The sequence below is a fragment of the Homo sapiens genome, chromosome 10 (assembly GCF_000001405.40).
Source record: "Homo sapiens chromosome 10, GRCh38.p14 Primary Assembly".
NCBI lineage: Eukaryota > Metazoa > Chordata > Mammalia > Primates > Hominidae > Homo > Homo sapiens.
This window is the reverse complement of record NC_000010.11, coordinates 72833211-72847361: the sequence shown is the minus strand read 5'-3', so window position 1 is coordinate 72847361 and position 14151 is coordinate 72833211. Positions and strand designations below refer to the sequence as shown.

The 14151-nt window shown below is 37.9% G+C and overlaps 1 protein-coding gene across 4 annotated transcripts in view; it reads right to left on the bottom strand.

The window, feature by feature from the left end:
• Window positions 1-14151, bottom strand: part of MCU (mitochondrial calcium uniporter) — a 195552-nt gene that overhangs the window by 40333 nt on the left and 141068 nt on the right. For all 4 annotated transcript variants that reach the window (NR_073062.2, NM_001270679.2, NM_138357.3 and 1 more), the window contains one exon: window positions 12934-13003. Coding sequence is in view for 3 of the 4 variants with exons in the window: in NM_001270679.2 (NP_001257608.1) it covers window positions 12934-13003 (70 nt within the window). In the remaining variant the exon portion in view is untranslated. The remainder of the gene's footprint in view (window positions 1-12933; window positions 13004-14151) is intronic.

The following is a 14151-nucleotide window of genomic DNA, read 5'->3' as shown; positions in this document are numbered from 1 at the left end:
AATTCTTCAGTTGACACGAGTGGCCTATGAGGATGGGATCTGTGGAGAACCCCAGGTTCCCCCAACTTGATCAGAAATCATTATACAGGACAGGTGCGGTGGCTCATGCCTTAAATCCCAGCACTTTGGGAGGCCGAGTCGGGCAGATTACTTGAGGTCAGGAGTTCTAGATCACCCTGGCCAACATGGCAAAACTCCGTCTCTAGTGAAAAAGTGCAAAAAATTAGCTGGGCATGGTGGCGTGTGCCTGTAGTCCCTGTTACTTGGGAGGCTGAGGCAGAAGAATCGCTTGAACCCGGGAGGCGGAGGTTGCAGTGAGCCCAGTTTGCACCACTGCACTCCAGCCCGGGCGACAGGGTGAGACTTCGTCTCAATAAAAAAGGAAATCAATACACTGACATCTAAAGCTCAGCTGTCTCCCTGACCACACTGGGAGGAAGTTTCCCTGGATCTAAGATCTCCTACTTTTAGGTAGATTTTGGAGGCTTTATTCCTCTCCATTTGGATTATTCCTTTCCACTCCTTCCCTTCATTGCTTCCTGGTCCCTTCCCAGTCCCTATCCTGGTTCCCTCCATCTGGACCCTAAAGGGAACAACTTTGTTAGCTCTGGCTTTGAGGGGTGGGAGGAGCCTTCCCAGGCCAGTCAAACATTTTCATTTTCAAAAAAGAAGAAAAAAAATTTTTTTAAGTTTAATTTATAAATTAGGCAAAATAAGAGATTATCAGAAAGAACTAAGAAAAAAATAGAACAATTAAAACAACATGCCAGCATCACTACTCTTGTACATGGGGGGTTAGTATTAAGTAAAATAAGGGTTACTTGACCACAACTGCTGCAGTACTACAACAGTCAATCCGGTAACTGAAACAGCTACTAAGTGACTAATGCGCGAGTAGCATATAAAGCATGGATATGCGGAACAAAGGGATGATTCACATCCCAGGTGGGACTGAGCAGGAGAGCACAAAATTTCATCACACTACTCAGAATAGCATACAATTTAAAACTTATTAATTGGGCCGCGTGCAGTGGCTCACACCTGTGATCCCAGCACTTCGGGAAGCTGATGCAGGCAGATCACTTGAGGGCAGGAGTTTGAGACCAGCCTGGCCAACATGGTGAAACCCTGTCTCTGCTGAAAATACAAATATTAGCTGGGTGTGGTGGCAGGCACCTGTAATCCCAGCTACTCGGGAGACTGAGGCAGGAGAAGTGCTTGAACCTGGGAGGCAGAGGTTGCAGTGAGCTGATATTGCACCACTGCACTCCAGCCTGTGACAGAGCAAGACTCTGTCTCAAAAAAAAAAATTGTTTATTTCTGGAATTTTCCATTTAATATTTTCAGACTGCGGTTGCCTGTGGGTAACTGAAACTATGGAAAGTGAAGCCATGGAAAAAGGGGTGGAGGGGAGACTCCTATATATAAAGGATCATGGTGTATACAAACCTCTAAAACTTGCCTTTTATGATAATCATTGCTTTGAGGTTTATCAAAGTTGGATCGTATTTCTGGAAATATTCACTTAAACTCCTATATATAAGGAAGTGGTAAATTTTAAAAAAAGAAAAAAACACTCCTATATAGAATTTCATTCTATGAATACATTGCTTAACGACAGGGATACATTCTGAGAAATGCATCATTAGGTGATTCTGTCACTGTGTGAACATCATAGATAATATTTACAAAACCTAGAAGGTATAGCCTACTACACACCTAGTAGGTATCTAGGTATTGCTCTTAGGCTACAAACCTGTATACCATGTTACTGTGCTGAATACTGTCAGCAACTGTAACACAGTGGTAAGTATTTGTATATCTAAACATTTCTGAACACAGAAAAGGTGCAGTAAAAATACAGTATTATACTCTTTTGGGACCAACATCACATATGTGGCCCATTGTTGACTGAAACATTGTTGTTATTCAGTACATGCATGACTGTATACCGTAATTTATATATCGAAAAACCAGATTTTCCCCCTATTATAAATAAAAATAAGGCTAAGAGAAAGTAGCACTACTCAATGTTTTTAGTTTCTGATGTAAATTTTTATTTCCTTTTAGAGCCTTGTGTTTCACATTTTACTCCTTAATTCATCTGGAACTTACTTATTTTTGTAATGTAGAGAAGTTGACTGTAATAGCACCATTTATTAAATAGTCTGCCCTTTCTCCTTGGCTTTACAATGCTAATCAATCACATGTCAGATTTCTATATATGCAAGCTTCCTCTAATCTGATCCAACAATCTTTCCTATACTAATACTTCATTGTTTTGATTATTATAGTTTTAGAAATACATCTTAATATGTGCTTAGGTACCACATGCCCCCTTGTTTTCCTATTCCAAATTTATCTTAGTTTTTTATATAGCTTTACTCTTTCATGTGAATTTTTAAGTAAGTTGATCAGCTCCTACTGGGGTTTTGATTAGCATTGCATTGAGTTTATAAATTCATTCTTCATATCTATTAACATGGTATAACTCTGCATTTATTCCTATCTTATGTCCTTCAATAAAGTTTATTATTCTCAATAAATGTCTTACATTTTATTTTTACTAGTTTCATGCCTAGATGCCCTCAAGTAATTTAACAATCACTTATATTCCTAAGGATAATTCCAAAAGTCTATATGCTTTTTTGTTAAATTATATGTTAGACAAAATATAAGATTGTCATTTTAATAGAATAAACTAAATATCTATCTACTTTGGTGACAATAAGGAGCTTCCTTATACATTACCGCAAAAATATCCTCAGAATATCTATATATATATATTTTTTGAGACAGAGTCGCATTCTTGTCACCCAGGCTGGAGTGCAGTGGCATGATCAGGGCTCACTGCAGCCTTGACCTCCCAGGTTTAAGAGATCCTCCTGCCTCAGCCTCCTGAGTAGCTACAACTACAGGTGTATGCCTCCATGCCCAGCTAATTTTTTGTATTTCTATTTTTTTACATTTTTTTTGAGATGGAGTCTTGCTCTGTTGCCCAGGCTGGAATGCAGTGGCACAATCGTGGCTCACTGCAACCTCTGCCTCCCGGGTTCAAGCGATTCTTCTGCCTCAGCCTCCTGAGTAACTGGAATTACAGGTGCCCACCACCACACCCAGCTAATTTTTATATTTTTAGTAGCGATAGTGTTTTGCCATGTTGGCCAGGCTGGTCTCGAACTCCTGACCTAAGGTGATCTGCCCGCCTTGGCCCCGCAAAGTACTGAGATTGCAGGCATGAGCCACCACACCCAGACTAATTTTTTGTATTTTTAGTAGAGATGGTTTTACCAAGTTGCCTAGGCTGGTCTCAATCTCCTGAACTCAGGTGATCAACCTGCCTTGGCCTCCCGAAGTGCTAGGATTACAGGTGTGAGCTGCTGCACCTGACAGAATATCTATAATTAATATGTATAAACAAAATGTGTTTGCTTCACAATAATCTCAGAAAAATATACTTAAATATGTAAAATAATTAAAATTTTCTTTAAATGTCAAGAGAAGAAAAATGACTGCTTCCACTGAGTTTAAACAAGGGGAAAAGACTGTAAGTTAAACATCAAATGCTGGCAAGGATGTGAAGCAACAGGAACTCTCATTCATTACTGTTCGGAATACAAAATAGTACAACCACTTTGGTAGACGGTTTGGTGTTTTCTTACAAAAATAAACATATTGCTACCAACCACAATTCTCTGTATTTATCCAAAGGAGCTAAAAAATGCCCATATAAAAACTTGCACACAGATGTTTGTAGTAGCTTTATTCATAACTGCCAAAACTTGGAAGCAACCAAGATGTCCTTCAGTAGGCAAGTGGACAAATTGTGGTACACCCAGATAACAGACTATTATTCAGTGCTAAAAAGAAATGAGCTATCAAGCCATAAAAAGACATAGAGAAAACTTAAATGTATCTTACTAAGTGAAAGATGTCAATCAGAAAAGGCTACATGCTGTATGATTCCTACCATAAGACATTCTGGAAAAGGTAAAATTATGGAGATAATAAAAGATTAGTACCTGCCTGCCAGGAGTTAGGGAGAAGGGAGACATGAATAGATAGAGCACAGAGGATTTTTAGGGTGGTGAAACTCCTCTGTGTGATACTATAACAGTGGATACATGTCATATATACATTTGCCCAAAACCCACAGGATGTAAAACACCAAGCGTAAACCCTAACGAAAATTATGGACTTGGGGTTGTAATGATGCGTCAATGCAGGCTCATCAGTTACAACAAATGTATCCCTCTCATGGGGAGACTATGCAAGGATTTGGGGGCAGGGAATATATAGGATATTTCTGTACACTTCTCTCATTTGGGATGTGAACATAAAACTGCTCTTAAAAAAGTCTGCTTTTTAGTATTTTTGGTTAATTAACCTCTGAGAATCTGATAAAGCTATGGATGAACTTCTTCCTCAACATTTCCTGAAAAAATCCAAACAGTTTATACATGAAAATTTTAGATATAATTTATAAAATAAATTATTTTATTTATAATTTTATAATTATATTTACTATTTATAAAATAAATTATTTTATTCCAATGCAATTATTATTGCACTGGAAACTGATTTTCTTCATATTGCCATATTTTAAAAATAAATGTTTACAAAACCTGAAGGATTCTTTCCCTCAGTTTTGAACCAAAATTAATGGCCATTTCCTGGTTTTTAAAAAGAAATAAAATATACAAATTAAACAGAAAATAAATGTTAATTCAAGAGGAAAGAACATGTAAATTACAAGCTGCTATTGTTTAGCTTGACTAAAGAAGTCACATACTGCCCTAGTTTTGGAACATGGTAAATTGAATATTATCTTTGATATCCAAAAGGTTGTGTACTTTCTGTTTTGATGAAAAGTGGTACTGAAAATTCCGAGAAAGGTACATGGTAACAAATAGAATCACAGCTCACTTTGAGAAATGATGCTAGGTTAGGCTTGTGCAAGGAAACTAAGAATTGTCTGAGAATTATTTCATAACACTACTCAATACAATATCAAAAGTGAAAAGATTATAAATCCAAGTTTCATTTGTGAGGTTTTCTGTGTGGAGGTAATCCTTAAGATCTCTGCGGTTTTTCTATATGCCTACAGAGAAACTGACAAAACTTTTCATTCATGACTGGCCTACAGAGATACTTCAAGTAGTAGAAAATTCACATGGTTGTCCATGTCTACAGGACTATAGGACTACAGGTGTGCGCCACCACGCCCAGCTAATTTTTTGTATTTTTAGTAGAGACGGTTTCACCATGTTGCCTAGGCTGGTCTCAAACTCCTGGCTTTACCTTACTCAGAGCAATAGCTTGGCTAAGAGTTTATGATTTTTCTGCCAAATCCATAACAACAACTATAAGGTCTTGAATTAGATTACTCATTCATAAAGCCCGAAATATCCCCAAGTAAATCAAGCCATGATTAAACTCCTCCTGTACTAATCTTTCTTTTCTCTTAAAAAGCAAAACTCCTGCCAAATTTAATCAAGCAAAGGAAGATTTTAAATTTTTATCCTTTTGTTTGATAAAAACCTGTTCTCATGAAACTGATTACTTCTGGGGTAGCAGGCAAAACTTTTAGGCCTAAGAGTCTTCAAAGCCAGGATGTGCCAGTGAAAGAAAAGCAATGAATTATTACAATGGGTGGAGCTGCTTTCTCCTCTGAGGCAGTATAAGCGTGCACATTGCTAAGTTTGGAAGATGCACCATCTGTGCAGAGTACTAAGATCTTCATTACAGTCAAAAATTTTTTTGGGGTCAGGCGCGGTGGTTCACGCCTGTAATCCCAGAACTTTGGGAGGCTGAGGTGGGTGGATCACCTGAGGTCAGGAGTTTGAGAACAGCCTGGCCAACACGGTGAAACCCCATCTCTAATAAAAATACAAGAATTAGCCAGGCATGGTGGCGGGTGCCTGTAACCCCGGCTACTCGGGAGGCTGAGGCAGGAGAATCACTTGAACCTGGGAGAAGGAGGTTGCAGTGAGCTGAGTGCCATTGCACTTCAGCCTGGTGACAAGAGCAAAACTCCATCTCAAAAAAAAAATTTTTTTTTTCTGGTAGTTATTTTGGCAAAGAAATTTAACAGTCTGTCAGAGATGCCGGTAGCCATTAATATTAACAGCCTTTGTAATTTTCACAAGAGACCTGGATATTAGGAATTTTTCTTTAATTGTGTCAACATGCATGTTAACAGACAAAAACTAGGAACTAACTGCTTTGAACAGTATCAGTTATTTTCATCAAGCTGCATTCTGGAGGAAAATGAGTTAGTTTCCAATTCCCTCAAAATTCACTTCAAAATATTGGAAAAAATGATGACAATCCTGAAGTGGATCTGAAATCTGACATAAATTTGCTTCTGCTCCAAGCGAAGTAGTTCACTGTCAGCACATAAAGCTTAAAGGTCTTTCCAATTTCATGTGGCTTCTTTTCTTGGTTGACTTTTCTATAAAAGTCAATCTTGAAGAATCCTTCAAGAAAAGAGTTCTGTGATGAAACAAGTTCATCCACATTTTGGTAAAGTTTCAAACTGTAATTACTACTTACAAAAAAAATCTGAACTGTTGCATATATTTTTAAAATAAAAAAATATAAGGTGCTTCTGTTTTCACAACTTTGTATTTAAGTTGGTGAGAACTCTGCCACATTAAAATACTTAGGCTCTGTGTGCCCTATAATTTTTGGATTTTTGGTGATTAAGTAGCTTTAATGCTTCATTTCTTTTTTGTTGTCAAGTCTTTTTAAAGTTGGAATGAAAGATATATAGTGGTGGGGTATAGTGGTTGGGTATGTATGTGTCCTCAATACAATAATGACACAGAATTTCCAACTGTGTACAACAGTTACTAACATGACTTGACAAAAAAGTCATTAATAACATTTGTCCCCTTTCCCTCCAAACTATTTTTAAAACTCACAAGAAAAACTCTAGACTATATAAAGAACACTTACAACTCAATAATAAGAAGATAAATAGTCAAATGTTTTCAAAAGGTCCTTTGAATAGACACTTCACTAAATAAAATATCTGAATGGTTAATAAACACATGAAAAGATGTTCAATATCATTAATTATCAGTGAAATCCAAATTAAAACCACAATGAAGTAATATTACACATCCATTAGAGTGTCTATAATCAAGATTGATTGTACCAAAGTTGGGGAGGATGTAGGGAGACTGTCACACTGATGTACTGCTGGTGGGAATGTAAAGTGGTACAGTCACTTTGGAAAACAGTTTTCAGTTTTTTAAAAAATTAAGCATATACCTACAATATAACCCAACCATTCCATTCATAAGTATCTATCCAAGAAGAATGAAAACATGTCCATACAAAGACTTACAGGCAAATGCCAGCAGCAGCTTTTTTTTTTTTTTTTTTTTTTTTGAGACGGAGTCTCGCTTTGTCACCCAGGCTGGAGTGCAGTGGCGTGATCTCAGCTCACAGCAAGCTCCGCCTCCTGGGTTCACGCCATTCCCCAGCCTCAGCCTCCTGAGTAGTTGGGACTACAGGCTCCTGCCACCACACCCGGCTAATTTTTTTTTTTTTTTTTGTATTCTTAGTAGAGACAGGGTTTTACCGTGTTAGCCAGGACAGTCTCGATCTCCTGACCTCATGATCTGCCCGCCTCAGCCTCCCAAAGTGCTGGGATTACAGGTGTGAGCCACTGTGCCCGGCCACCAGCATTATTTTTAATAGTTCAAAATGGAAAACAATCCTAATGTCCCTCATTTGGTGAATGAATAAAGAAATGTGATATTTCCATATACCGGAATACTACCCAGCAATAAAAATAAAGACCTACGAATACACACTACAACATGGATAAGCCTTGAAAGCACTGTGCTGTGTAAAAGAAGCTAGATGCGAAAGACTACATATTGTATGAGTCCATTTATACGACATTTTTGGAAAAGGTTTAACTACAGAGACAGAGAGCAAATTAGTGGTTACCTGGGGTTGAGGGTGTGAGTGAAGATTAGAACTGGGGAACTTAAAAAAAAAAATTTGCTACCCTATCAACTGACAAACAAGCAAGCGGTCCAAAGATGGATTGTTGTGGCCAGCCACAGTGGCTCACCCCTGTAATCCCAGCACTTTGTGAGACTGAGGTGGGTGGATCACCTGAGGTCAGGAGTTCGAGACCAGCGTGGCCAACATGGTGAAACCCCCTCTCTACTAAAAATACAAAAATCAGTCGGGCGTGATGGTGCGTGCTTGTAATCCCAGCTGCTAGGGAGGCTGAGGCACGAGAATTGCTTGAACCCAGGAGGCAGAGGTTGCAGTGAGCCAAGACCGCACCACTGCACTCCAGCCTGGGTGATGGAGCGGGACTCCGTCTCAAAAAAAAAAAAAATAGATGATTTGTTGTGACAGATGTACAATGATGGGTAAATTTTATGGTATGTGAAATATAGCTCAGTAAAGCTTCTTTAAAAAGTAGCAGGACAGAAAACAAACAAAAAAAGCTGGAGCATGTATCTGGTTCCCAAAACCATGCACAGACCTTAGGTTTCGAATTTATATATTATCTATTACTTGGGTTGACTAAACAGATGATTGTTTATTAATTAAACAGGAATTTTCAGATACTTTCATTATTAAAATTATTTGCCCGCAAACAATTTTTGTAGGGAAATCTTGTATCTTTTGTTAAGTACAAGATAAACATAACAACTCTCTAGCAATTCTCTCTCACTCTTTTTTTTTGTGTGTGTGAGACAAGGTCTGACTCTGTCGTTCAGGAGGGAGCAGTGAGCAGTCAAAGCTCACTGTCGCCTTGACTTCCCACCTCATTGCAGCCTTGACCTCCTTGGGCTCAAGCAATCCTCCCACCTTAGCCTCCCAAGTAGCTGGGACAACAGGCACATGCCACCACGCCCAGCTAATTTTTGTATTTTTTAGTAGAGATGAGGTCTATGTTGCCCAGGCTGGTCTTGAACTCCTGAGCTCAAGAGATCCTCCTGCCTTGGCCTCCCAAAGTGCTGGGTTTACAGGCATGAGCCACCATGCCTGGCCCTAGCAATTCTTAATACAAGGCAAATTGAGTAGGATTACATTTCTGGATAAAAAAATAAAAGCAGCTAGATAAGGCTATTTTTCTTGTTCTTTCTCTAGTTCACCTTTCACACTTTCCCAATAGCTAGAGTGAAGATAGGTCCTGGTCTACACTATTAAAAAGTATTTGGCAGCCGGGCGCGGTGGCTCACACCTGTAATCCCAACACTTTGGTAGGCTGAGGCGGGTGGATCACAAGGTCAAGAGATCGAGACCATCCTGGCCAACACAGTGAAACCCCGTCTCTACTAAATATACAAAAAAAAAAATTAGCCAGGCGTGGTAGTGAGCGCCTGTAGTCCCAGCTACTCGGGAGGCTGAGGCAGGAGAATCACTTGAACCCGGGAGGCGGAAGTTGCAGTGAGCCGAGATTGCGCCACTGCACTCCAGCCTGGCGACAGAGTGAGACTCGGTCTCAAAAAAAAAAAAAAAAAAACCAGTATTGGGCATCTCCTTTCACTCTCAAAAGTGTTCTGAGTTGGATGATAAATTATACAAACTGTCTACAGCAGAATTATCCACATCCTTAACTTCCACTAACATGAAGGGAAACCCCTGGAGGCTTTAAAGACTTCAAGTAAGTATAAACCATATAACCATAAAAATTTTACTATCAGTCATTTTACAGTTGAGGATCTGGGGCACAGAGAAATTAAAATGAGAAGTCTAAGACCACGTGTTTTAGATTTGAGGTCTTTAGCACTACCACAACCACTCCTTACAGAATAAGTACTGTTTCTACATTTTTCTGTTGGAGGTGTTAACTATTACTATCTACATTTCACGAATGAGGAAACAGGCTTTGACTTATTACTTACCGGGGGTTATAAGGAGGTTAAGTGGTAGAACTGGGATATAAACCTAGGTCTGCTTGTCTCCAAAGCTTACACTCTAAACATTTAAGCAGATTGCCTCTCATGAAAGCAAACATGGGTGTGAGTATGAGTATGTGTTTGTTCCATGGTTTGGTCTAGGGGAATCTGTATCACTATAAAATTGTATGCAAAATTTCCTATGTTTATATAAATTCTTCTAGAGAAAGGGTCTAGAACTTTCAATAGATTCTCATAAGTATTTACGATACCAAAAAAAAAAAAATCTAGAACCTGTTAGATTGCTTTGTTAGAGAGGTAAGCATTTAAGATAATCTACATATTTTATTATCAGCTGTTACCGTCATAACCAGATTCGTCAACTAACATAATTAACAAGCAATTACTGAAAAGCAGTATATATAGGTATATTTACTAAGCATATAATACCATAATTATAGGATATGATATTTTAGACCTTATACTTCTAAAAACTGAGGGTCAAGCCCTCATTTAATACTGAAGATGACCAACAGTCACAACAAAGAGCAGGGAGTGATGGTAGAAATTTCTGTTACTGGTGACCAAACTCTACTTATTGGAGTAGCTGTGGATTAAGCAGTTTTCTCACATGCTATACTGACCTAAGGTGAAATTAACTTAGAAGTACAAAATTAGAAAGATATATAATAAGGACATCAAGCTACATTAAATCAAATAATTTTGTGCTTTTATTTCTTGATAACTAATATGAATTAGTTTTCTTAAGAAGGATAGTGTTGGTAGGAATTTGGGGAGACACTCTTTTTTTTCTTAAGTTGGTATCTTTTTAGCTTTTGTAAAAATAATATTGCCTTCAAACCCTCATAATGGCAACCTATCAGCATTTATGTCCTCTGATAACATCTGGCCTAACTGTACCATTGTTAAATTACTGAAATATCTCCATATGGATAGAATATAGGTATACATAACTGTACCATTGTTAAATTACTGAAATATCTCCATATGGATAGAATATAGGTATACATAACACAGCCTATATATAGATATATATAACAGGATAATAGTAACGGTAATAAGTAGCAAAATTAGTATCAATTCCAATATGAATTCATTAGTTCAAGTTAATTGCCACTAAATATCATAACCACCAATGGGACTTGACCTTCCAGCTGTAGTATAACATGTGACTTGGTTGATATTCTTTATGAATATATATTGATATATGTGGATATTGAATATATGACAATTTCAAACACTATCATAAATACTAGAAATTTTTGAATGAAATAGTTCAGCAAAACTGAGTGGATTCAGCAATGTAAACTTTTTTTTTTTTAACAGTGAAATTCTTTTTATTCAAACTATCTAATGATGGCACCCTGCAGTGGTAATGGAGTAAGTCAGAACCTGGGAGTGGTGCTGGCACAGATGTGGACAGTCACCATTTGGCTATTTAATGGACCAAGCAGTGTCAAGAGGAAGAGAGATACCCACCCACTGCATTGAAGGAGCTTAAGGAGGGAAAGGAATATGTAGCATAGCCAGGTGGCATTATGGTCCTCTGGCTCTTGGCCACGTAGAAAGTACTGTTATCTGGGTACATACTGACTCTTGACTGGGGGCAACACAGCTACCTTTCTGGCCACAACACAGTGCTAAGTGCTGCTTTTTAACTTATACATTAATTGGTACTAATTTTTAGTTTTTTGTCTTTAAGAGACTGGAAACAGAGAGCCAGCTAATATTTTCCTTATTTTGATTTTGGTCTATTTTCCCCTTTTTAACCTTTCCATATTACAAATGAGTAATCACAATGGATTTTTCTTCCAAATTTAGAAGATTTGGCAAATATGAGCACACTGTCTATAAATTCACGTAACAGCTTTGGGAGGTGATTCTGATAACACTGCAAATATTATACTGACTAAATGTTGGGGATTCTAGTGTTCTCATGATTCATTTTCTGGGCTTCTTTAGTTTTAGGCACCCTTGTAAATTTGCAGGATGCTCTTTCAGTGGTTGTTATGCTTACGAATTAATGTTTCTAAGGTTGAAATCAGAGCTCTATCAAACTAAACTTTATACAGAGGAAACATATCTAACAGTCAACCCCTAAACTAAGCAACCTAAACTGTAAATGCACAATACCGGGTAAGAGAAATGACAATAAGAGTTGTAAACACATCTCCCTCCACTACCATAAAAACAACAAAGGTTTGGATCCTGTCGCCAGTTTATAGCATCATAGACATTTACGAAGGATTGCATTGGTCTCCAAGCATCTGTTTATCCCTTCCCACATCAAAGAAGAGTATTGCAGTCCTATGCCTAAGTAGGGAAAAAGATAAGCAAGAGCAGGAGGTCTCAGACTTTGAGTTCCTTCTGTCTAGGCTCTGATACAACAAGAGGCTGGAGTGTTTGATCATTATCCATAATGTGAAGACCCAATGGTTAGAAAACACCAAAGATGGTGCTTCTGTGATCTTCACATTAACTATGTCCCTAGTTTTAACAGATAAATGAGGCTGGGCACAGTGGCTCATGCCTATAATCCCAGCACTTTGGGAGGCCGAGGTGGGCGGATCACGTGGGTTCGAGACTAGTCTGGCCAACATGGTGAAACCCTGTCTCTACAAAAAATACAAAAATTAGTTGGGCATGGTGGTGCTCGCCTGGTCCCAGCTGCTTGGGAGGCTGAGGCAGGAGAATTGCTTGAATCCAGGAGGCAGAGGCTGCACTAAGCTGAGATCGCGCCACTGCACTCCACCTGGGCGACAGACCAAGGCTCCATCTCAAAAATAAAAGATAAATGATCATTTAACCTATAAAGTCTTAATGGAACTTAGTGTTTCTTCTTGGTTTCTTCTCTAAACTCACTAGATTCTCATCCAAATTTTATTTTCCTTCTCCTCCTTTCTCTCTCTGACCCCTAAGCCCACCTTAACTGAAAGAGTATGGTTTATAAATTTTTGTGTCAGAGAATAGGAAACACTGAGCTAAGAAGGAAATAATATTAGACATAAAAGGTGGATTTGCTGAAACTCACCATCAGAGGGCACAACAGTGCTGCAATAAACAGCTCCCAAATTCTGCCAGGAAGCGATCCTCTGGTGTACCTAGAAAACACAAAAGATACATCTACTGTCAGAATGGAACAACAAACATATACTTATGTGTGTGTATATAATAAATATATACATATGATTACTTAAGTAATATGCATGCTTTGTAGAAAACTTTAAAAATACAGATAAAAGAAAATAAAAGTCTTTCAAACTCCTATCATCCTGAAATAATAGTGGTGAACATTTTGGTATGTTTTCAAGATTTATGCAAACACATTTACATATACAAACACAAGTATACATGTTACATTAAACAAAATTAGAATTATACAAATCATGTTTTATGTACTTTTAAAAACATTTAATATTGATTCTAGGTGCTACCAGGCCTCAAGTAAACTTTCTGGCTTTTTCTTCCTCCGGTTACCTTTCAGATCTGCGTCTCCTTCCTATCTCTTACCAGGTATGAGAGTTATTAAGTAGCTGTATCAAGAATTTACTATTATTGAGTAGGCATCTGGTCTTTATGTTCACTCTCCTTTTTAAAAAACCTGGAGAGGCAACCTCACTAGTTGAGTCCTTAATCACGACCGCTTCAGAGTGTTAGAAAAAATCACTCACACTCACATCCACCTCTACTACTTCCTCGAAGAGCAATCACTGTGGATGTGGATCTGGGACTCAGGTTCTCATAACTAAACCATGTTTCAGAATGAATACTGAATACATTTCTCACTTGCCAAATGCTTAATTTATTCCTTTGTATCTTTTACTTTCCCAACCCCAAAAAGTATCAAAGGAAGAGGAAGGGCAGGCATTAACTGAACAAAATCCAATATACCAGCTTCAGGCCTGACATATTCCATTCCATCAGCACAAAGAAAAATCATTTAGTATCTACTAAGCTGTATTAAGGTGTGCATTGTCACAGAGTCCTAAATGATTTTTCTTTGTGCTGATGGACTTTGTATGACTATCATTAATTTCCATCTCGTTTCAACTTAAAAGAGCATGCAGAAATGTAAGACTGACATTTATAAACAATTTAAATAAATAATTTAAAAATTACTTGAGACTTGGCTCACAGCTAGTTTCGTTTTAAATCTTTGATTCATTAGGAATTACTTCTAGTCAAAGTTACTAAGTAGAAATCTAACTAATTTCCCTCTAATGACAACATAGCTGTCCCATACAGTGAA